General features: G+C 37.1%; 1 protein-coding gene across 3 annotated transcripts in view; it reads right to left on the minus strand.

Annotated features, from left to right (window-relative positions):
* ESF1 (ESF1 nucleolar pre-rRNA processing protein) overlaps positions 1-25,670 on the minus strand; it is a 70,595-nt gene that overhangs the window by 36,446 nt on the left and 8,479 nt on the right. For all 3 annotated transcript variants that reach the window (NM_001276380.2, NM_016649.4, XM_017027874.3), the window contains exons 3-9: positions 25,103-25,500; positions 24,387-24,500; positions 21,745-21,845; positions 20,561-20,713; positions 19,137-19,251; positions 16,007-16,154; positions 8,922-9,083 (exon numbers count right to left, since the gene is read on the minus strand). In NM_001276380.2, coding sequence (NP_001263309.1) covers positions 8,922-9,083; positions 16,007-16,154; positions 19,137-19,251; positions 20,561-20,713; positions 21,745-21,845; positions 24,387-24,500; positions 25,103-25,500 — 1,191 coding nt within the window. The remainder of the gene's footprint in view (positions 1-8,921; positions 9,084-16,006; positions 16,155-19,136; positions 19,252-20,560; positions 20,714-21,744; positions 21,846-24,386; positions 24,501-25,102; positions 25,501-25,670) is intronic.

Genomic DNA, 25,670 nt, shown 5'->3' on the forward strand with positions numbered 1-25,670 from the left:
GATTTTGAAGCCAGCCTGAGCAATGTAGTAAGAGCCTGGCTCTACAAACAATAAAAAATGAACTAGGTAGACATAGTGGCACACACCTGTGGCCCTAGATGCCTGGGAGGCTGAGGCAGGAGGATCGCTTGAGCCCATGAATGAGTCATGATCGAACCACTGCATTTCAGCCTGGGCAACAGAACAAGACCTTGTCTCTTAAAAAGATAAATAAATAAATAACACCTGAGAAGAGACACGAAGATGCTATACTCAAAAACGTATCTGTGAGAAAATGTAATAAAAGGTTATTATGTTATCCATTTAGCAAAACTTTATGAAGAACCTACAGCATAACATCAGGGCCCAACTTTTCAATTTTGCAATAATGAAACTGATGAAAGCAAGTAGTATGAATGAGTTCTGTCAAAATAACACACGGAACATGTGCAACGAAAAGTGACAGCTTACTAGCCAGACAGTTAGAATACAGATAGAATAATGAAGGACAACCACAAATAGAATAGCGAAAGTTTTGCTTTCCAGACCAAAGAATTCACAACTTCAAACAAATCAGCATAGCTGTGGGCTATGGGAAAACAATACATGTGACAAGTTTTCTTTTCTTGAGCTCACTTGTGGCAGATTGCAAGTTTAAGGCATAGTTATAAAAAGAAAAAAAAGGTATTAACAGTATAGTCTAGAAACGGTGGCTACACATGCAAACAGCGGGAAGGACTGTATTAACAGAATCATTCTAGATCTTTGCAACCAGAGGATCTTGCTGATTTACATATTTTAACTGGAATCCTGTGCAGGGATGTGGGGGGGAACCAGATCAATTAACCTGAAACTTCATAAGGCATTGCAATTTTAGCACTTTCTGAAACTACTAGTAGAAAAATATCCTTGCTTTTTGAGTTAAATCTTTTTAAAAAGCTTCTTGGAAAGTCTCTTTTTAAAAATTAAATCGGCTGGGCGTGGTGGCTCATGCCTGTAATCCCAGCACTTTGGGAGGCTGAGGTGGGTGGATCACAAGGTCAAGAGATCGGCCAGCCAACATGGTGAAACCCTGTCTCTACAAAAAATACAAAAATTAGCTGGGCGTAGTGGCCCACGCCTGTAGTCCCAGCTACTCAGGAGGCTGAGGCAGGAGAACCACTTGAACCTACGAGGCGGAGGTTGCAGTGAGCCAAGATAGCACCACTGCACTCCAGCCCAGGCGACAGAAGAATGTCTCAAAATAAATAAATAAAATAAAATAAAAATAAAAATAACAATAAATCAATATTATTAAGAGAGAAAACAGTCTATCAAATAATTCAAGAAGCACTGAGAAAATTACCAGCAATCACATGGAGGAAATGTATTAGCATCATTTTTAGATAACTCTTAAGTGCTTCTCATTTTTATTACACATTTCAAACATGACTCCAATCTTTTTGCACAGTATGAAGTTATAGCTTATTACCTTACAAACGCCTCATAGTCAACCTGTTAACTGGATGATTCAAGGAAGGAGCTCACGCTTAGGTTTTAAAATTTTAGCCACTTACCAGCTGTGTGACTTCGTACAAGTTACAAGAGTGCACTGTGACCTGGTTTCCTCCCCACCACCAAAATCTGAGGCAAACTACAAATTCTTTTAGCTTATTTTTAAGTTCAGGTTTTCCATTTAATGCCCTCTTCTATACTCGATTCAAAATTTTAAACATCTGGTTATTTTAAAAGTTCTGGCCAAAAAAAATTTTTCTGAATATATTTCAAATAATGAGCACATTGGCAATAAATGAAAATGGAGCCAAAACTAAACAGTGAACAGGTTTTGAGACATCTAAAAATTAAAATGCTTGAAACTGGGCTGCCTAACAAAATGAATGCCCAACTAATTCAAAAACATTTTTACTTCTAAATAAAAAGAATGAATAATACAATGGCCACATATGCATGTCACTGATGTCTCTGTTTAAGCTACTCAGTGGAACAACTGAACAGAGAAATGGAGATAAAATAAATGTGGCAGGGGAGGACGAAGGATAAAGAACAGATACCAGAATAAAAATGAAATTACAACTGTGAAGAGTGGAGGAGGAAAAAGCAGAACAAAGGAAGAGCTACACCCCTACTCCATGCCCAAGGAATAGGAGTCAAAAAGGGACTCCTCTTGCTGTGTGAGACAGTAAGAGAAGTCCTTGCCAGCGTGAGACAGTAAGGGGCACCTCTAGTTTTCTGGTTTCCATGTCTCCTTCCCAAGAGTAAGTATTCTAGAACTCTGTGTGCTCCTGCCAAGATATCCCAATGACATTCACATCCCTACCACTATGAAAGCTTTAAGACGATCAAAACTAATCTCAAAATCCCTTTATTCATACTTAAATCTGCCACCACATGAAGTTTACAATTTCCAAATCATTCCTTCTCCCAAAACAATGCCGAACATCCTCAATGACTAAAGCCGTTCTACTCACTAGTCAGTTATTAGTCATTAACAAAAGCCCCCTTACCCATTTATCTGCTAAGTGGAGTTTCACTAAAACTTAGCTCTCTTCTGAGGACACTGCTTCCCCTCTATCTCTTTTAGCAGGTGAATTTTTCTCTCCCACTGTCCCTGCGACTCACTGCCAATTCCCATCCACTGGCTGGCCCTCCTCCCCAGTGCCTCCACTCTGAATATCATATTTTCAGGCTATACTAGATAGACTACACTCTTCCTTATTGTAGATATCTTTTTTGTAAGCAAATTCTTCCAGAACCTGATGTAGATATCTAATGACCACAGATGCTCTTCTCATTTTAATTTTAGCTCACTGCCACTCTTTCCAATACTCCTGTCATAATTCTTGGTGACTTCAGTATCCACACAGATGATCCTCTGAACGTACCTTTGGCCTCACAGTTCACTGACCTCCTCTCCTATGGTTCTACACTCTATCCCATCTCAGAAATTCACTGCCAGGATTGTAAACAGGTCATGTGATTACCCAAAGTTGCAATCCCACCACAATCTTACTTTCCAAGCATCCTACTCTTCTACCACCAGCTGCAATCTTTTCATTTTAACCCATTTATGCCTGAGGTTGCAATTTTTTGAATTTTTGCAATCAAACTTTGAGCAGTAGGATATAAATAACTTCCACATGCTTAGCATTCCAATAATGGACCACTAGGCATAAGTTAATCTCTCTAGTAGTCTGAGACTAACAATTCCCTTGGTGTGAAAGTGGCAACGTGCTTATAATGGAAGCATGTCTTAGTTTTTGGAAGTTACATTTTGAAGTGCTTTTTTTTACGTGTCATGGTGCTTGCAACTTTCTATCAAATATTTTAGAAAAAGAGTTGCCTCTACTTACTGTCTCTAATTCTTCTCTTCCCATTCTTCCTTCAAACCATACTACTTTCATCCCCCATCATCCCACAAAAACCATTCAATATCACCAGTGAGCTTCACACTGCTAAATCCAATGGTCATTCTCAGCCTGTATTTTATTGACCCATATTCTCACTGAAATGCCTTCTTTATTGGCAGGCTGAATACCCCGCAATTCTGAATTTCCTCCTGCTTCTCTGATAGCCTCTCCAGCTGCTCGGAATGGTCCAGGCTCATGTCCTCTACCTCTAGATGTTAGAGTGCTCCAAGGATCAGCTTTTGAACCTTTCTTTTTTACCTATATTCACTACCTTGTTGTTCTTATTCACTTTCAGAGATTTATACAATGAAGATTCTCTAATTTATATCTCTACCAGCCCTGTACTCTTAACTGTATAACCAACTGATTCCTTGGCATGTCTATTTAGGTATCAATGGGCATCTTGAACTTAATGTATGAAAAAAAAAATTCTTGATGCTCCCTTGCAAACATGTTCCATCCACAAGCTTCATTATCTGAAAATTACTCCAACAGCCATTTGATTGATCTCCCCAATTTGGTCCTTGCCCCCCACTTTAATCTACTTATCTATAGCAGCAAGAATGATCCTGTTAAATATAAAAGTCAGATTTGACTGCTCCTGAGCTCAAAACTCTCCAGTGGTTTCTCATCTCAGTCACAGAAATTCATGTCTTTATAATGGCCTACAAGGCTTTCATGTCTGGCCCCAAACTACCTCTCTGATCTCAGTTACTTCTGTCCTCCACTGTAGTCATACTGTTCTCCTTGGATTCCTCAAACACAAGAGACAAAGTATAGCTTCAAGGATACTCCTATGCTACTTCCTCTGCTCACACAGTCTTCCTGGGCCAGGCTCACTCCCTGACCTCTACTTTCTTTAGTTCCTGGTCAAATATGTTTCTTATATATCTGTCATCTGTTTAGTTTCTCCTTCACCGGAGTATAAGATCTGTGAGTTCAGGGATTTTTATGTTTTGTTCACACAGTGTATAGAATAATTCCCGGCACAGAGTAGGTATTCAGTAAGTATTTGATGGAGTAAGGAAGAGAAGTTGGGGTTCTGTAGAGTGCTGAGTAGAAAAAAGACCAGCTATCCATTTCACTAATATCTATTAGGCCAGAGATAGCTAAGAAAAACAGGACTTTTACCATAATCAAAAATTTAAGATTATAAACAAACATGCCATTATTTATTTCTGGATGGAATTTCATATATATTGTTTATATTCAGCTTGCATTATCTACAAAAAATATTATGTAGATTAACTGGACTATTAATACAGGGGAAGTTATATAAAGAGTTAAAACTGATTACACTTCATTTATACGTGTATTAGAAATTCCTCAACGAGGTACATTTCTTGATGAAGGCCCAACTGGCTAATTATATGCATCACCTTATCTACTCCTTAGTAAGTTGGCAGGATACCTTTAGCAACGCATTGAGATAGGAAATACAACTTCACATACATCAAAATAATTAAGTATAACTTTCTTTAAAAATTTTATAATTCAACATTTTTACTTATTTATAATCCTAATTAATAAAATTGTATTATTACATTTCCATAGGAACTAAAATATTGATAGAAAGAGTAGCTCATTCCAGTTGTTATGCCCACAAACCTGTTATCAGTTCCCTTAATACTTACCCTTAAGAAATTAAACTCCTCATGTTACTATACTGTATAACCCAATGTAAAAAGGTAGAACGTTTAAATAGTCTAAACTAGAATTTCTTCTGAAAAATCAAACCAAACCACAATAAATGTTAGTGATTAAGAGTACTTATTTTCCTGAAGAGGTTAATATTTTGGAGAGTCAAGCCACAGAACCAATGAATGATACGGTATAATCTCATACTGACCCTCCGTGGTTTACTGAAGCATAACATCAAAAAAGTCCTGAGGTTCAGGGTAACTGTTACAGAAAACACACATTTCTTAAGACATAAATTCACTGAAATACACGTCATGAAAGTACTTTGTAGTTTATAACGTTTGTAAGTATCTCTAAGCAAGAAAGTGGTATTATTAGTTCCAATTTCCATATGAATAAACTGAGGTACAGAAAGATTGCTCAATGATCTTATATGTATAGCACACAGAAAAACCCTTTACACTTGCATGTGCATGCGTGCATGTACATAAGGATTCACAGATAACAATACCTCATTAGGGGCCTTCAAAATATTACAGTTTAAGACCTTTGAAACTCATACATTAAAATATCAATTTTCCCCTATTCAATTAAAAGTAAAAAATATATACCCAATGTTGACGATAATTCCGTGAAACTGACACTCTTACTGATTGTTGAAGGTATTATAAGCTGGTACAACACTTCCAGAAAGCAATTTGGCAATAACTTCAAGACACAAAAAGTATTCATGCCCTTTCTTAGTAACTCTATTTCTGGGAAACTATCCTATGAAAATAATTCAAAATATGGAAAAAGCTATAGGTTATTTATAACATCCCAGATACTTGGCATCTGGGATTTAACATTTGAGGTTTTGACACTGGTAGTTTTAACAGCTTGTGAGAGAACCACAGGTTGATCTACAGCACATGTAGAGTTGCTGTGTGAGCAAGGAAGTCACGTAACTAACTAGTGAGTTAAGCCTGAATGCTAGGCATCAGCTTCTCATTGTGGCCTGGTTGTTCTCTACTAGTCCTGACATGCTTGGAAACATTTCTAGGCTGGGAGAGATGAAAAACACACCTCTGTTTTAAAAGTTTTTAAAATTAAAAGGCCCTAAAAAGGCAAGCCAATTACTTGGCTGCTCATGAAAATGAAGAAATTTAAGAAAAGCTTGTTATTTGTGGGTTTGAGATCTGTCCTATTTTTTTTTCAATGTTATAAGTCCACTGTAGTGAAAGATTAGAAATCTGATTGCATATTCAACAACAGAGAAATGGTAAATTAAACTGTAATCTTCTTAACCAGTGGTTGAATTAGGATAGTGGAATTACAGATGATAATCTTTCATTTTACATTTTCACTTCATAAGGTCAACATTACCCTAATACCAAAAACCAATACGAGGAATGAAAACTACAGATCATATTCCTCTTTGCCACAAGTACAAATATTTTTAATAAAATATTACTAAATTAAGCTGGGAATATATAAAAAGATAAGGTACCATGACCAAGGTGGGGTTTATCTGAGGAAATATAAGCAATGCTTATAACTTCCAGTTACAGATAACAGGTGTAAATACCACTTTTAGGTATTTGCCCTACATTACTATGTTTTGTTTGTTTGTTTGTTTGAGACAGGGTCTCATTCTGTTGCCTAGGCTGGAGTGCAGTGGCATGATCACAGCTAACTGCAGCCTCAACCTCCTTGAGCTCAGGTGATCCTACCACCTCAGCCTCCCCAGTAGCTGGGACTACAGGCGTGTGCCACCATGCCCAGCTAATTTTTGTATTTTTTTGTAGAGATGGAACAGTTTTGCCATGCTACTCGGGCTGGTCTCGAACATCTGAGGCTCAAGTAATCCACCCACCTTGGCCTCTGAAAGTGTTGGGATTACAGGTGTGAGCCCCTGTGCCCGGTTTCATAATTATGTTAATAAAGACACAATCTAGATGTGGTCCACTTAGTGTGGGAACCTGTATCATATATCTGTACCTTACAACTGGCATTATATATTTCTGAAATATTTGCTATAAAACACCTCAATCCAGTTTATTTTAGATCTGCTTTCTCAGACAACTGAACACTTCAATTTAAAAATGTTCATATTAAAATATATTCAATAAGCTCATTCTAAGATTAGAATTAAACTACAATATATTCAACTTAAAAGACAGAATTCAACATTTCTTAGAATCATAAAGTCAAGGGACTCAAGTAAAATATTTCTTAACAGACATCTCTGAGTAGCATAATTATGTAGCCTTATGGTGGAGATTTACTGACACAGAGAGCTCAACCCCTTAAAGCAGCCTTCAGTTCTTCTGCGAGACAATTCTAATAATATAGAGAATTCCTCTTTATATTATTACGTTAAAATCTACCTTCCTTCAACTTTTATCCACTGGCAGTACTGCTAACCTGTGAGGTAATAAAAGAGATTAAGTCTTCATTTACATATTCTGCAAGTATTTAAAAATAGCTGTTAAAATCACTTTTTAGACTTTTCCTCTCCAGGCCAAATCAATTGAGTTCTCCCAACCACTTGTCATATGATACACCAGTAAACTTCATTCGTTCTTACCACCACTTCCTGCAAAAGCCAAACATTTAAAACAAATGGGTTGCAACACAGCACTTCATTCCTGTAGGAATATGCAGCAGACCATCCTAGCAAATTTACTACAATAGCCAGTGTCCATCCTAGCAAATTTACTACAATAGCCAGTCAATCCTCAAATATCAAAATACCCTATTTTTTTCCCAAATAAAAACCCACGCAAACATATGTTTTATTCCCAATACAAAAGCACGCTACTTATAAAAATGGAATTGGTAACAGAACACCTTTAAGTTTTAAGCAATGGTATTCCTACAACTGGTTAGTACTCTTTCTCCTAGTGACTAATATAGGCTAAAGAACTGAACCCTTATCCAAAAATATATCTGGTTTTAAAAGTTATACACATATATAATATAAACAGCAGTAATCTATAAAAACAGTATTGACTGCAGAAGTCCCTGATGATTTGCCCAACAATGTTGAAAAAAATGTGTACAGTAGTCCCCCATTATCTGAGGAGGATACATTCCAGGACCCACAGTGAATGTCTGAAATCATGGATAGTACTGAATCCTATAGCTAGTATGTTTTTTCCTATACATCTACAGCTATGATAAAGTTTAACTTATAAATTAGGCACAGTAAGAGATTAACAACACCAACAATAAAACAGAATAATTACACTGTAATAAAAGTTATATGAATATAATCTCTCTTCCTCTTTCTCTTTCAAAGTATCTTATTGTACTATACTGGGTAACAAACTGCAGAAAGTGAAACCATGAAAAAGGGGCAACTGCTGTTTACTACAGAATGATCCCATTTATCCCAGCTTTTATCTTTGTTTAGCTTTGACATGATTTTAATTAGTTTTGTACTAGTACTATTTTACTCTACTATGCTATATTTCTTTGACTATTCGCAGCAAGATTGAAAATCGAAGACTATGTAATACATATTTTGTGTTAGTGAAACCTCATGAATTAAGGACTAGTGGGGGTTATGGAAGAAAAGGTCACTTAAGAATTAAACATTCAAAAGAAGTGTAATAACTTTAGAACACGTGGTGCCTGGATTCAAGTTTCTATATCTTGAGAATACAGGCTCAAACCTAGGAAAAGCTACTCTGATAAATGGACAGGAAAAATTTATAGTTAGTAAATCAAAGAAACCAATTAAAAATAAGTTGGTAAGAGTCTAAAATGCTAGTCATTAAGTTAGTTAAATGGTGTATGCAAATATGATGTTAAGGTCCTCACCAAAACATTTCCGGCTCCTTCATATTTAAAAGGTACTCAACATGCTGAAATTCGAAAAAGAGAAAACATTTAGTATCTAATTCTTACCTGGAACCCATTTAATTTCCATTTCCATATCATTTTCTTTGCCTTTCTTTTCTTTTTCTTGAATAACCTGCAAGAGCTGCCTGTATTTAGCAATTTGTTCTTCATCATCCTTCTGACTTTTCTTTGTTTTCCCATCTTCTTCTACATTGACTCCATCATCACCTAATGAAAAAAAAATTCACTTAATACACAGAAACAATTCATTTCTAACTCGTGTTCAGATCTTATGGTCACTCTCTTTTAAAAGATGCTGTTAGACCACAGGATATCAAAATCAGACTTAAATTTCTGAATATTAAATGAAAGACTTAGGGTCTCATGTAGAATAAAAATCAGTTGCAATATAAATTTGCACTGTCATAGCAGTATGCTTGGGAATGCCCCTTTTTATTAAAATTTATATTGGATAATAATTCTGCAGTTACATAACATCTTTGGGCTTCTTTTTCCTATAAGCTGCAAGATAATGAAGATGGCATTTTCACCCTCTCTGGGAAGTGAGGAGCGTCTCTGCCTGGCCGCCCATCGTCTGGGATGTGAGGAGCCCCTCTGCCTGGCTGCCCAGTCTGGAAAGTGAGGAGCGTCTCTGCCCGGCCGTCATCCTATCTAGGAAGTGAGGAGCGCCTCTTCCCGGCCGCCATCCCATCTAGGAAGTGAGGAGCATCTCTGCCCGGCCGCCCATCGTCTGAGATGTGGGGAGCGCCTCTGCCCTGCCGCCCCGTCTGGGGTGTGAGGAGCGCCTCTGCCCGGCCGCGACCCCGTCTGGGAGGTGAGGAGCGTCTCTGCCCGGCCGCCCCATCTGAGAAGTGAGGAGACCCTCCACCCGGCAGCCACCCCGTCTGAGAAGTGAGGAGCCCCTCCGCCCGGCAGCCGCCCCATCTGGGAAGTGAGGAGCCCCTCCGCCCGGCAGCCACCCCGTCTGGGAAGTGAGGAGCGTCTCCGCCCGGCAGCCGCCCTGTCCGGGAGGGAGGCGGGGGGTCAGCCCCTGCCAGGCCAGCCGCCCCGTCTGGGAGGGAGGCGGGGGGTCAGCCCCCACCGGCCAGCCGCCCCGTCCGGGAGGGAGGTGGGGGGGTCAGCCCCCGCCCGGCCAGCCACCCCGTCTGGGAGGTGAGGGGTGCCTCTGCCCGGCCGCCCCTACTGGGAAGTGAGGAGCCCCTCTTCCCCGGCCACCACCCCGTCTGGGAGGTGTACCCAACAGCTCATTGAGAATGGGCCATGATGACAATGGCGGTTTTGTGGAATAGAAAAGGGGGAAAGGTGGGGAAAAGACTGAGAAATCGGATGGTTGCTGTGTCTGTGTAGAAAGAAGTAGACATGGGAGACTTTTCATTTTGTTCTGTACTAAGAAAAATTCTTCTGCCTTGGGATCCTGTTGATCTATGACCTTACCCCCAACCCTGTGCTCTCTGAAACATGTGCTGTGTCCACTCAGGGTTAAATGGATTAAAGGCGGTGTAAGATGTGCTTTGTTAAACAGATGCTTGAAGGCAACATGCTCATTAAGAGTCATCACCACTCCCTAATCTCAAGTACCCAGGGACACAAACACTGCGGAAGGCCGCAGGGTCCTCTGCCTAGGAAAACCAGAGATCTTTGTTCACTTGTTTATCTGCTGACCTTCCCTCCACTATTGTCCTATGACCCTGCCAAATCCCCCTCTGCGAGAAACACCCAAGAATGATCAATTAAAAAAAAATAAATAAAATAAAAATACAAAAAATTAAAAAAAAAAAAAAAGAAGATGGCATTTTATCCCTCTTTATGTCCTCCACTATCCAGCACAGTGGCTTTAAAATGTTATGCTGAATAAATGTAGGCTGAATATTGTTGGGATGAATTCGGTTTGCAGCTATTCAGCCTGAAGAGAAGAGATAAAGGCAGTTGTTTATAATCCAAACCTAAGAATACTGGAACCTTTCCATTTTTGAGCAAGCATGCTTACTCCAACGATCTCATTAATATATTAAGAATAAAAATGAATTAGGAGTTACTTCAATTAATTTCACTGTGTGGAAAAACATTCACATCTGCATTTCCTAGTTCTGCAAAAATAATTAAAATACAAAGAAACATTATAAAATTCACAGGCAACAAATACCCAAGAAAACTAATACACCAAAAAGTTTGTTCTACATTTCCACTGCAAGTCTCCAAATCAAAAACAAATCAGAAACCTGGGTTTTAATGCAAAACATACAGACTTATTGAATTGACTGTCTCAAGTAAAGGAAACTCTACTAGCAGGATAATGAAGTCCCTCTCCTCTATAACCTATGGCTAACTGCTCACCAAAAATGTCTGACATTATTAAGCATTTAGCTGGGAAACATCAGTGTTAACAGATTGTCCTTGTATCTTTTTTAGTTTTTAAAATTCATTTTGTCCTTGTATCTTTTTTAATTTTTAAAATTCATTTATTTTTTCTTTTTTCAGCAAGTCCTTATATCATCAATGTCCTTATATCTTAAAAAAGTGATATGGAAAAAAACTGGTTAAGTAAATATTTCTATATGTATATATTGTTTTCTTAAAATAAATAAAAAATGGTCCAGGACATTCTTTCCATCCTATCACACTTTTATTTTCATTCAAACAGCTGAAATTCATTTTTTTCCTGTTTGTGCTTTGTGCCACAATAATAATGTTGGATGGAATTCTGTCATGTATCCCGTAATTCAATGGATAAAACATCAGGAACACATTAACAAATGGCAAAGTATTTCTTTCTATTAAAAGCTTACTTCTGAAAACATAATTAGAAGCAAGCTCCTTCCAGGTTGAAATTTTAGTGGTAAGTCTCTGATGGCTTACTTTAAACTGATTTTTTCCAGTACTGAAATTTTACAATCTGAAGCTCTAAAATGTGGGATAAGTCATGTAGCTCTGTTTTTTCCCAATTCAAGGACACTAGTTTGTGAAACCCTTAATACTATATAAGGAGTGAAAGAATAATAATTCTAACAGTAAGCCACCCTGCTATGCTCTCTTATAAACAATAACCAGAAATATTCAGTAGCTTTAAGGCATTTGAATATGCTGATGTATCTATGAGAGGTACTAAATTAGATTATAGTAAATTTGTAATCAATTAAAATGTGGAAGAAAAATATACGCTTTAAAAAAACTTGGTGTATCTCAAACAAAAAGTCATTATTTATTAAAGTTTTTTTTTTTTTTTTTTTTTTTTGAGACAGAGTCTCACTCTGTTGCCCAGGCTGGAGTGCAGTGGCACGATCTCGGCTCACTGCAAGCTCTGCCTCCCGGGTTCATGCCATTCTCCTGCCTCAGCCTCCAGAGTAGCTGGGACTACAGGCGCCCGCCACTACGCCCGGCTAATTTTTTTGTGTTTTTAGTAGAGACGGGGTTTCACCGTGTTAGCCAGGATGGTCTTGATCTCCCGACCTCATGATCTGCCTGCCTCAGCCTCCCAAAGTGCTGGGATTACAGGCGTGAGCTGCCGTGCCCGGCCTATTTATTAAAGTTTTAAGAAATAAAAATACAAGATACAAGGTACATCATTTCAGTATTTCCAACCATAAGCCTGGTATTATTAGATCCTCATTTCACAGCTATGGAAGAAAGATATAGGGGGTTTAGTAAACCTAATCTATGTATGGTGAAGTTAGGATTTGAAACTAGCAGAGCCCAAGCTCTTAACAAGAATGTATTAACAAATTAATGCTTATTTATTCACAATATTAGCTACCCTAATGCCAAAAAATGTCATTTTAAAATTTAGTTCAGTTCTCCCAAAACAGAAATCTATTTGAACAACTTGTATCCAATCTTCACAAGTGTACATAAAAAGTTATCTTTTTTCCTTTATCTTACAGCTGATAGTGAAGAAACACTATCCAGAATTTTCAGAAAAGTTCTAAATGCCCATATAGGCATACAAATAAAAAAGAAATACTGATAAATCATTACGTCTTTCTCCACATGTGTGAGGGGAAAAGACACAGATAGAGGAAAATTGAAAAAAGGACTCAGCTGTTCTGTGAACAATAAAAAATAAAATGGTCATCTAGTTATTTGGAATGCCAAAAGAATTAACAAGCATCAGCCACTAAGGCCTTTAAAAAAATGTGAGGCCCTTTGCACCCAACTTAACTCCCATTGCAAATACACATTTTCAAAGAGTATTAAATACTTAAGCAATTATGTGGTTGTATTAATATGAGATGTCTGAACAAAGAAACCAGAATGATTAAACATGATTTTCCATACTGTTAAGGAGTAGTATTTTATGAAAAGCTTAGAAAAATGAAGCAGTGTCTTCAGGAGTCTAAAAGAAACAATGATAGGCCAATCATGGGATCTCGAAAACTCAAAAGTTAAATGGCATTATGGTCATACTAAAGAAGCATTTTAGGATTTAATTAATTTGACATTTAGGCTATAAAAATAATACATATACAAAAAGAAAACAAAGCTATGAAAAATGTTAAGCTACAAATTAAAGAATATTCATTCTTGCTAATTTAAAATACTTTTATCTATGTTTAACATTTATGGGTTCTTCACTTTCTGTCAGCATTAAATCTCTTACTCATAATTTTTCATGATTGGCAATTCTATTAGATAAGAAGAATGAAGATGTGAAGGTATTAGGCAGACAGTATCAACCAAAAGTTGACATGAAATTACAACCCGGCAACCAGTTTCCAAACAGAGACAGATCAAATACAGGGAAAAAGGGTTTTGGGGCTTTATGTCTACAAAGTGAGCTATTTTAAGCAAAGAGCATATACATTTAAAAGTACAGCTGATTCTTCAACAACATGGAGGTTAGAGGCACCAACCCTAGGCACAGTCGAAAATCCACACGTATCTCGATTCTCCCAAAACTTAACTAATAGTCTACTGTGCAGTGGAAGCCTTACAAATAATACAGTCAGTTAACACATATTTTGTATGTTATATGTATTATACACTGTATTCTTATAATAAACTAGAGAAAATAAAACGTTACTAAGAAAATCACAAGGAAGATAAATATATTTCCCACGCATTACATGGAAGTGGATCACTGTAAAGGTCTCCATCCTCATTGTCATCATCACACTGGGTAGGCTGAGGAGGAGCAGGAAGAGGGGTTGGCCTTATAGTTTCAGGGGTGGCAAACGCAGAAGAAAACCCATGTATAAGTGACCTCACACAGTTCAAACCCGTGTTGTTCAAGAGTCATCAAGAGTCAACTGTACGCCGTTAATCATTTCAAACATTAAAAAAAAAAAAACAAAAACAAAGGCCAGGCACAGAGGCTCACGCCTATAATCCCAGCACTCTGGGAAGCTGAGGCAGGTGGATCACTTGAGGTCAGGAGTTCGAGACCAGCCTGGCCAACATGGTGAAACCCCATCTCTACTAAAAACACAAAAATTACCCGGGCATGGTGGTGGGCACCCGCAGTCCCAGCTACTTGGGAGGCTGAGCCATGAGAATCGTTTGAACCCAGGAGGAAGAGGTTACAGTGAGCCCAGATTGTACCACTACACTCCAGCCTGGGTGACAGAGCAGTACTCCATCTCAAAAAACAAAAACAACTTGAATAAAGATAAAGATAATTTGAGGAACTTCTTAACAGCAAGCTAGGTACTTCAGACTAACCCTTTCACTGAAGATATTAAGTTGGAATTAAGTTGGATTAAATATTATTTTATAAAGCTTCAAAGAGGTTAAGAAAAGAAAGAAAAGTTTCAAAGAACTGTCAAGTTAGAGAAGACTTACTATTTCAAAACCAAGAAGGGAATATTAGAGGGATGACTCCAGGGTAAAGACCTGTTTTGCTCTGAGATCATTTCCTGTTTCCTGATCCACAGAACAAAGAGCTATGAAAGTCAATTGTGGTTTTAGCAGGCTTTCAGGACCAAGAAGACAAAAGTTAAAGACCAAAAAAAAGAGGGAATTTCAATTAGTACCCTGACATTAAGCAGCCACCCAGAGGGATATACTCCCAGGGAAATGGTCAATCTGAAGTAAACCAGCCCTCATGCAGACTTTAATCATCTGCAGAAGCCAGGGAACCTAAGCCTTAACATTTGGAGAAATGTGGTTCTAAACCAACCAAAGTAAATTAAAGTCTTCTCTGATCAAAGATACCCTAACTTCAAATGTCAAAGTAACACACAAAATTAACTAGGCACACAAATAAACAAGAGAGAAATACCTTGTAAAATAAGACACCAACCTGAAAATACATGAAATATTAAAACAGAGACTATGAGTAAAAAATATAAAAAGTGGTATTTCTGACTTGAGAAATAGCCAAATACAACCTCCATAAGTAAAAAATATAATAACCAAGATTAAGACTGAATGGAGAGGTCTATCAGCAGATTTAACACTGCTGAAAAGACAATTAGTGATCTGGAAGATAGGTCAGAAGAAAATATCCAGAATGCAGTACAGAGACAACAGATTAAAAATTTAAGAGTAGAGATAGGCAAGATATAATGACGAGATCTAACATGTATTTAGCTGATGTCCTAAAAGGATAAAGAAAAAACATCTGAAAACATAATGGCTAAGAATATTCCAAAACTGATGAAAGATACCACTCCACAAATAAATGGAACCCAACAACAAACCTCAAGCTCCACAAACAAAAAGAAATCTACTCTTATACTTACCATAGTAAAACTGCAGAAAGACAAAAAGAAACAGAAAACTCTAAAAGCAGTCAAAGGAATAATTACAGAAACAGGGAGTCTACTTTTTAACTAGTTGAAAAAATGGAACGTAAAAATATTTAATCAATCTAAATGATGCTCTTATTTTTTAAAAAGGCAAATGAGGGGAGATGCCTAAAAGATTGTTTTACTGGTTTACTAAGAAACTGAGTGACCATATGCATTAGGACAAGTCTAGAAGGCCATGCTTGGTTAGGTCAGGGTTTTAAACAAAATATTTATAGTTAAAGAAATTCAGGCAAAGAAAATTTTTTTTTAAAAAAATCAATCACTATCTACAGGTATATATAATACTGTGCATGTGAGCATATCTGCAGACAGAATTTGGCTTTCCCTGTAAAGCTACTGCCAAAGACCTATGTCCATTAATGGTCACTGAAAGATTAACAATACCTTGTAGCTCCTCTTCTATCTCCTCTTCATCTTCACTAGAGGAAGCTAAGTAGGCTTGAAAATCCATGTCCAAAAGCTCTTCCTTTTTAAACTTCCTGTTGAGCATTGTAATTCTTTCATGATCAGTCTCATCCCAAGTGATTTCCACCTTTCACCAACAAATAAGAAAAAATAACACACGAAAATGGAAATGTCAGCTCAAACTTGTTAAAGAATATATACTATTAACCTGGATGTTTAACAGTAAGTTAAAAGTTAAGACACATTAAAACAAATACATGAATGATATGATTAATAAATAGTATCCTATTTGTGAAAATGGAACCATTTCTATTAACTTGTACCTCCTCCCAATTCTCTGCTATCTACAGGATACTCCATCACTGACAGTAAAAATTAACCAGTGTCTAAATTAATTACGGTGCAAAAAAACTAAGAAAATGTACTGGTAAAAGAGTTAACATTATGGGCCAGGCATGGTGGCTCACACTTGTAATCCCAACACTTTGGGAGGCCAAGGCGGGTGGATCACCTGAGGTCAGGAGTTCAAGACCAGCCTGGCCAACATGGTAAAACCCCATCTCTACATGAAAAATTAGCTGGGCGTGGTAGCAGGTGCCTGTAACCCCAGCTACTTGGGAGGCTGAGGCAGCAGAATCAGGAGGCCTGTAATCCCAGCTACTCAGGAGGCAGAGGTTGCTGAGATCATGCCATTGCACTCCAGCCTGGGCAACAAGAGCAAAACTCTATCTCAAAAAAAAAAAAAAAAGTTAACATTATGAATCAGTGAAAACATGTTTTTTCACCTGGAGTTCTAAGATTTCAGGAAATCTGCAAACTATATGAAATCTGTTGCTAAAACAAGACAATCTCAGTGGGGTCCATTTTAAAAAAAGATTAAGAACCACTGATGAGAAAAGCATCTATTAGTTGGAAGTAGTTTAAACCTCCATGATACATGAATTCATCTATGACATGACTGATGTGGTGATGACTGGCTCCTGCCCTGTACATAGCCCCTATTCTCATATAAGGCCCTGCCAGATATTTTATCTTCATCATAGGGTAGATCCACATCCATTTTAAGAGATCCTTAAAATCACTGCCACCTGTCTCAGAAATTCCAGCTAGTCAGAGGATTCAGAAATGATCCCTATTCTGACAATTAAGCCTGAGCTGATAACCACCAAAACACTGTTGGAACTAGGACAGATGTTGATGATACAGCCAGGACCCAGGAACTTTAGACTGGCTGGCTGGACAGGCTGGCCCTGATCATTATGTTGGTTCTGAAAATAACATGACTTTAATTTCATGTGACTGAATTTTTTAGACTTTGCTTACTATGTAATGGTAGAGTTTTACTACACCCAGTAACTAATCAATGCCATACAGTGCCCACCACGGCATAGCAGGTGGCAGATACAGCTACTCTCTCTGCTACCAGTCCCTCCTCAGAGAAGCACGGTGATTTATCACACAGGAAAAGCAGAGGGAAGCTAGTGTGGCTACTGCAGAGTACAGCTGTGGACAGAAAGGTTATTGGGAGAAAGAAAAAGGAGAAGGGAGGCCAAGGCGGGTGGATCACCAGAGGTTGGGAGTTCGAGATCGGCCTGACTAACATGGTGAAACCCCGTCTGTACTAAATATACAAAATTAGCTGGGCATGGTGGCGTGCCCCTGTAATCCCAGCTACTCAGGAGGCTGAGGCAGGAGAATCACTTGAACCTGGGAGGCAGAGGTTGCAGTGAGCCAGGATTGCACCACCGTACTCCAGCCTAGGCGACAGAGTGAGACTCAGTCTCCAAAAAAAGCAAAAAAAAAGAAAAGGGAGAAGGGGCCAGGCGCAGTGGCTCACACCTATAATACCAGCACTTTGGGAGGCAGAGGGGGGCGGATCATCTGAGCTCAGGAGTTCAAGACCAGCCTGGCCAACATGGTGAAACCCAGTCTCTACTAAAAATACAAAAATTAGCTGGGTGTGGTGGCACACACCTGTAATCCCAGCTACCGGGGAGGCTGTGGCAGAAGAATCACTTGAACCCAGAAGGCAGAGGTTGCAGTGAGCAGAGATCGCGCCACTGCACTCCAGCCTGGGCGACAGAGCAAGACTCTAGTCTCAAAAAAAAAAAAAAAAGAAAGAAAGGAAAAGGGAGAAGGTAGTCACCTAAGTAATAAACTATTTCAATAGACAAAAACCTTTTGGCTATTTGTTACTAAGCATTAATGTGACATCTATTATACCTTAATTATTCCATATCAATTCTTTTTACAGTTTTGAATCATCTGCAGAAAAAGGTACTCCTATTTTAAATTTTCACTAGTTTTGTTTAACTGTGCTGGGAGGTAATTCATTATCCACTTCCCCTTATTCCCTAGGATATTAATAACTGATGTATTAGAGTGTATAGGAGATACTCTTATTTTAAATTTTCCCTAGTTTCATTTAACTGTGCGGGGAGGTAATTTATTATCCACTTCCCCTTATTCCTTAGGATATTAATAACTGATTTATTAGAGTGTATAGGAAAGACAGAAGAGTGTATAGGAGAGACAGAAGAGTGTACAGGAAAGACAGAAGAGAAAAAAGAAACATCAGCAGATAACTGACACAGGCTTAAATGCGTAACAAGAATCTGAAAACAGGTTCACAGATATGGTAGAGGCAGACACGCTTGTGTCTCATTTCTCTCTGTACCCATGCATTAAAAATTTTGAATACTTTGAGGCTGGGAGCAGTGGCTCACGAAACCTGTAATCCCAGCACTTTGGGAAGCCAAGGCGGCCTCACTTGAGGTCAGGAGTTCAAGACCAGCCTGGTCAACATAGCGAAACACTGTCCCTAGTAAAAATACAAAAATTAGCCAGGTGTAGTGGTACACACCTGTAATCCCAGCTACTTGGGCAGCTGAGGCACGAGAATCGCTTCAACCTGTGAGGCAGAGGTTACAGTGAACTGAGATCATACCACTGCACTCCAGCCTGGGTGAGAGAGCGAGACTCTGTCTCAAGAAAAAATAATAACAAAAAAATTAATACTTTCCATTTTTAAAGATGCTATAAGTAATATACAAAATCTCTTCATAAAGCAATAGAGTCCAGCTACATATTTTTTAAAGTAAAGAAATACCGTTGATGTTCCCATTGCAGCAGAAGTGAAATATTTTGGTTTATATGCTGTTAAATTCACTTCTGAGGCTACATCCTTAGGCTCATCATCAAAAGTAATATCATCTGGTATAAACCTAAGAAGTAAAGAAAAAAAATTTATTTAAAATACGCTGCAGTGATAACCACAGTTTAGATTCTCATCTAATTAGTTGTAGTTTATACATACACAAACTTTCTAAAAGACACACGTTTAAGAGACAATGTTAGACATAACCTTTGTATATTTCTGAATGAATTCATCTTTGTATAAATTTCTGAAATTCATAAGCTATAACTCTGTAATTCCACTAAATTTAAAAGAATGCTGTATAGATAGAAATCGTGCATTAGGAGTCAGTTAATGAGTCAGGTGCAAGCACATGTGGGTCCCTCACGTTTCAAAAAGATCCAGACTTCTGATAGTGCAGTCATTGACTACATGATTTTGTTGTTGTTTTTACAGAGAGGGTCTTGCTCCATCACCCAGGTTGGAGGTCCATGGCATAATCATGGCTCACTGAAGTCTCAACGGCCTGGGCTCAAGCGATCCTCTACAGGTGTGCGCCAACATGCCTGGCTAATTTTTACTTTTAAAATTTTTTGTAGAGACAGGGTCTCACTATGTTGCCCAGGCTGGTCTTGAACTCCTGGGTTCAAGCGATCTTCCTGCCTAGGCCTCCCAAAGTGCTGGGATTATAGGCGTGAGCTACTATGCCCAGCTGGCTATATTGTATTTTGAAGATCAAATATAATTATTAATGGGTAAGCATTGTGAATACAAAGTATCATATACATGAGGTGTCACTGAAAACAAGGGAAAGCTTAAGGTTGAGTCTTACAATTTCCTAATTGTACATTTAGCCATTTACATTTAGAGCAGTGTTGTCCAACAGAACTTTCTGTGACAAGGGCAATGTTCTATATCTGCTCTGTCCAAAATGGAACAATTATTTGAAATATGACTACGCAACTGACTTATAAATTTTAACTAAAATAACCAAATATGACTAGTGGCTACTATACTGGATAGCATGGATCTAGAGATAACAATCTGTTTTCAAATTCCTCTGCCCCTTCCTCCATGCATTTTTAAAAGTTAACTTCATCTGGTTCCTAGCTCTAAAAGCAGTTGCAAGGAAATATTATTGTGTAAGGTACACCATCTTAAAAACAGAGCCAATATGTCTGAAAGGACAAAGATGTGGGGATGATTCATACATAATACTTTAGCACTGTCTTGTTTGTTTTCTTTCTTAGGAGTGATGTTCCATGGGATAGAGTTAACCGAAAAGCAAAAAAATCATTTTAGAATATAAAACAGAGATCACTACCAGTTCAAATATTTTACTTCTTATAATCATGTTGTACTAAAAGATTAAATTGGTAATACATACACTGGATTACCTTAGATCTATGAAAGAACAACTACTTTCAAATTCCAGGCCATCACAATCCTCATAAATTTTACTAGCTGTTTCCGGAGAATCACAGTCTACTACTGCATAATAGTACTTCAGTCGTTTGAATTGATAATCTCTCAATTTTTCTCTAGACGTCCTAAAGTGGGAAAAACTTATTAAGCATACTTATACAGAAACACAAAAATTTCCCTTTAAAAAATAAATGTAATTCTTTCAAGAAAAACATATTACAAGCTGGCCTTCATACCAAACCATCTTTCCTTCATGACTTTGCCTTTATAAACATTAAATACTTAAGCTCAACTTATTATTCTCACAAGGTACAGATATTTGGATTGGAATTTGGTATCTAGGAAAGGAGTGTGTGGGAATTCGTGTGTTTATCTATAATTTAACTCACAGAATAGTTACTTTGCTATTACACACTGCCTTCTCAAGTAAAACCAATAAAGATAATTCTATTATAAAATATGCTAGAAAACCATTAGCTAAAAGACATTCCTGATCTTGCAAAATGTTTGCTTAAGAGTCTATAAGTTTGATTTTGCTTAACTACAACACATTCTTTTTTTTTTTTTTTTTTTTAAGGTTCCACACAAAGCACTGATACAACTCTTTCTTTGAAGGTCTTCATCTGCTCTCTCCTGTCACTAATCTATTTAACCCTCATTTTTATTAAGTGCAAATATAGCTCCACCTAGTGGCTTAAAAACTATCTTAAATTATTTTCTATATTGCACCATGATGATAAAAAAAAAAGTTTTATCATTCTTTCACTTTTCTATTTGATTCTCAAATAAGAAAAAATTATATAATTTGAAGGCAAACAGAGCTTCAATGATGTCTCAAAAAAAAAAGCAAAACGTACTAATTCAGAGCAACGAGGCTGAAAGAATTCAAAAGAACTCCAAATCAGTTTAATCATGAAATGTTTTTCAAAAACTGCAATAATTACTTTCATGAATACAGAAATAGAAATATACACGAACAAAAATCTTCTTGGAATAATGTACCACTTTTAACAGACTTTAAATCTGTTTTGCAACCTGTTTTAACCACGAATGGCACAAGTATAAACTTTAGTTTTAACTATTAAGGTGACCAGAATTCTGAACTAATGACATGAATTTATGAGGTTTAGTTTTATGTTCTATAGTGATTTAATACCAGTCTTTTTCTGGGGCATCTTCAGGAATACTTAATAGCTCTACTGGTCCTTGAACTTGCTCTTCCTTCATCCTCTCCTTTCCAAATTCTGAAGGATATATCTAAACAGAAAAAAATAGGATCAATGTAATTTGTACATTCCTTTACACAAATATCTAGACCTGTCGAAGTCAGGAACTCTAAAAGTCACAACTTGACTCAATGAAAACAGTAAGGGTGACTCACTTCCAAATCCACTATAGGAAGCTAGAGCATCTTGAGAAATTTTATTTAAAAATAGATCACTTTGGCTAGAGACTAACAAGATACGAGGCTTGGAAACAAAAATAAGAGTATCTCCTCCACATACCACCTGGGACAAGATGGTTCCGAGATCCAAACGAAAAATTAAAAGCAAAACAAGATGCTAAGCTCAAGGAAATGTGAATAAAAACACACACATGAAAAATGACTGAATTAGTTTACATGAAATACAGAAAAATAAACATATAATGAAGATCAATTTTGTAATAACCAACTTATCTCTGTCATACCATTTATCCAGTGCTTTCTTTTAAAGAAATAGAACAGAACTGACGACAACCTTATACAGATTAGGTATAGTCTCGATATAAGAAAAAGAATTCACTCTCACCAGGTGTGGTATCTTCTAAAATCTTGCCTACTTTAAGAGTCAAGAAATAATTGTATTAATGACATTGTTTTGATACTACTAGGCTTAATATACATTTGTTAATGAACACATGCTTTTTTAAACTGTCTGAAATATGCAATTTATCAACAAGATGATCCAAGTTTTTCTTACTAACTTGAATAGTATATACACAATAGGTTTAATATGTAAGTTTATAATATATATGTAGTCACATCTTTTGATTCTTTTTTTTCCTCTTTTCTAAGTCTAGAAATTCTCACTATTGCCTAAAACACAGGGTTTTTAAATTGTTTCTTTGGCTTGACTTTTAATTTTTTTTTCCTTTGCTTCATCTAGAATTTCGCTGGAGCTATTAGGAGGTGAAGATCTGAACCAAGTTCTCTATCCAATGACCTGTTCATTTGTCCAAATATTCAAGCAGCCTATTTTGATCTAAGTTATCATATGAACTCTTTCTATCTATTCTGTTCTACCAATTTGTCCCATTTTTACCCAAACCTGTCAACCCCCATAGCATCATGAAATGTTTAGATATTGTAACTTGTAGGGTGAGTTTTTACACTTGATCTTAGCCAAAAGGCCGAGAAGCGACAGGGTGAGTTTTTATATTAGCATGATTTCTCAAAAGTTTATTAGCTAGTCTAGGCCAGGCGCGGTGGCTCACACCTGTAATCCCAGCACTTTGGGAGGCCGAGGCGGGCGGATCATGAGGTCAGGAGATCGAGACCATCCTGGCTAACACAGTGAAAACCCGTCTCTACTAAAAATACAAAAAATTAGCCGGGCGTGGTGGTGGGCGCCTGTAGTCCCAGCTACTCAGGAGGCTGAGGCAGGAGAATGGCGTGAACCCGGGAGGCGGAGCTTGCAGTGAGCCGAGATTGCGCCACTGCACTCCAGCCTGGGCGACAGAGCGAGACTCCATCTCAAAAAAAAAAAAATAGTTTATTAGCTACTCTTAATTTGTTTATTCTTTTAGATGATTATTGGTATCCTTTTTCTTAACTTTGACTTGAACTGGGATTTTGATCAAAATTACCCTAGAACAGTAGACATAACATCTTTAAATATTTAAACAGAATAATACAGGTTGAGCATCCCAAATCCCAAATCCAAAATTCCAAACTTTTTGACTGTCAACGTGAGGTTCAAAGGAAACGCTCATTGGCGCATTTCAGATTTTGGAATTGCGATGCTCATCCAGTAAGTATATATAATGCAATTTTATTTCAAAATCTGAAATTCTAAACACTTCTGATCCCAAGCATTTTGGATAAGGGAGACTCAATCTCTAATAATGATTGAGGGCAGGGCTATTTCAGGCACTGCACTAAATACTTAGTTCAAGCTCCTTTATACTTAATCCTTACAATCACCAATACTATTGTTATATCCATTTGGATATATTGGAAAGATGTAAACATACTTGAGAGATTAATTAAGTGTCCAGGATCACATAACACTTACGAGAATCAAGATTTGAACCCAGGTCTGCAATAATGCAAAGCCTGGATTCTTAATTATTAGGTTGGCTTGAAATATGGTATCCTCAAAATTTATGTAAGTTTTTCAAATTTATCAAGTGTTACAGTTTACTTCACATAGGTCATTTGTGTTTATTAAGGTAATTTCCAAGAACTTTATGTGGTTTTGTTTCTAGTATAATTAGATTTTTTCCTTAATTGGCCAGTGTTAGCAATAAGGAATGCAATTTATTGTTAAAAACACTTCTTATATGCTGTCCCTTTACTGAGCTTTTATTTCTTTGGATTTTTAATGTGTAAACAATCATATAACCTATCAATAATAATAATTTCACCTCTTCCTTTCTAACATTTATACCTGTTACATAAGTTTCACACTCAATTGGATTGGACAACTTCCACAGTATTTTCCTAAAAAGGAAAACTATGGCCAAAAAAAAAAAAAAAAATCAGATTTAACTTAAAATGCCTAGAAATATTTATTTCAAAATGAAATCAATTCTCACCTTGACGGAAAATATTACACCTCCTTTGGGTTTAAATGAATTGAACAGAGCCAGCAAATCTTTTGCCTTTAATCTATCCCAGTCCATGTTACAAACTGCTAATCGACGTGTAATCTGAGAAATGAGAAGAATTAAATAGTACATAATCCATATCATTCTCAATACTTGAAAAATAAAGATTCTAAAAATGTAATGCCTTCTGTCCCCTATGCTCTGAAATTAATAGTACAGGAGTTATCTAAGCGTAATTCAGTATATAAAAGAGAACTTCAAATGAGCCAAACAATAGTAAAACCATAACAGGTAAGTACTTTCTCTTACTTGGTTCTTAATTCTTAAATCAGAACATGATCATGAGCTGATTTTTTAACCACCAAGTTTGTTCAGCTATTTTGCCATGCATGCATGAGTAAGGAAGTTGAGTATGTTACCCTGCAACATTTCTTTTGGGTGCCGTACAAACAGAAATACAAACTACTAGCTAAAACAAGTATTAAAAATTTCATGCAACTTTTAATTATTTATGTAGAGCCTCTTCTTATCTGCTTGGACGTCTTCTAGTTCATATAATTATATTCCATATCAAATTTTAATCAGAATCATAAAGAATACTATTACCAATAAGCTTTTCCCACTTAATGACATCAGTTCTACCAGCCATAAAAGCTGCTTGTACTGTGTTTTTCACAAATAATCTTGTTTATTCAAAAGGTTACCTCATCAGCACGAGGAGCATCTTTATCTAATTCTCTCCAAGCATGCTCAAAACCAGATTCTTCTGGAAACAAATCTGCCGTATCATCTTCATCTTCAGAACTAGTTTCTATATTTCCTTTACCCCTTGCAAGATCAGGGCCACTGTCACTTTTATCATCATCCTCACTATCCTCATCTTCATCCTCCTCTTCATCTTCATCCTCCTCTTCATCATCTTCACTTCCATCGTCATCACCTGAAGCTCTACCAACACTTGTAATTTCATTTTCAGATTCCTCATCACTTCCTATTTCACTAACGCTTTCTGAATCTTCCTCCAGAGCATCTTTGTCACACATTTCACCATCTGTTGAGTTTTCATAACCATCACTGTCTCTTGTCATTATGAGTTGAACCACTGCAAAATGTTAAAGGGGAAAGAAATTAAGAAAAGATATATGCTGAATTAAACTGAATCCAAATTATCTTGACATCAACTCCAGTAAAAATATAATTTCTATGAAACACAGTAAAGACAAATATATATTCAGTAAATGCTTAGTCAATTTTTATGATAGAAATCCTAAC

Source organism: Homo sapiens, chromosome 20 (assembly GCF_000001405.40).
Source record: "Homo sapiens chromosome 20, GRCh38.p14 Primary Assembly".
NCBI lineage: Eukaryota > Metazoa > Chordata > Mammalia > Primates > Hominidae > Homo > Homo sapiens.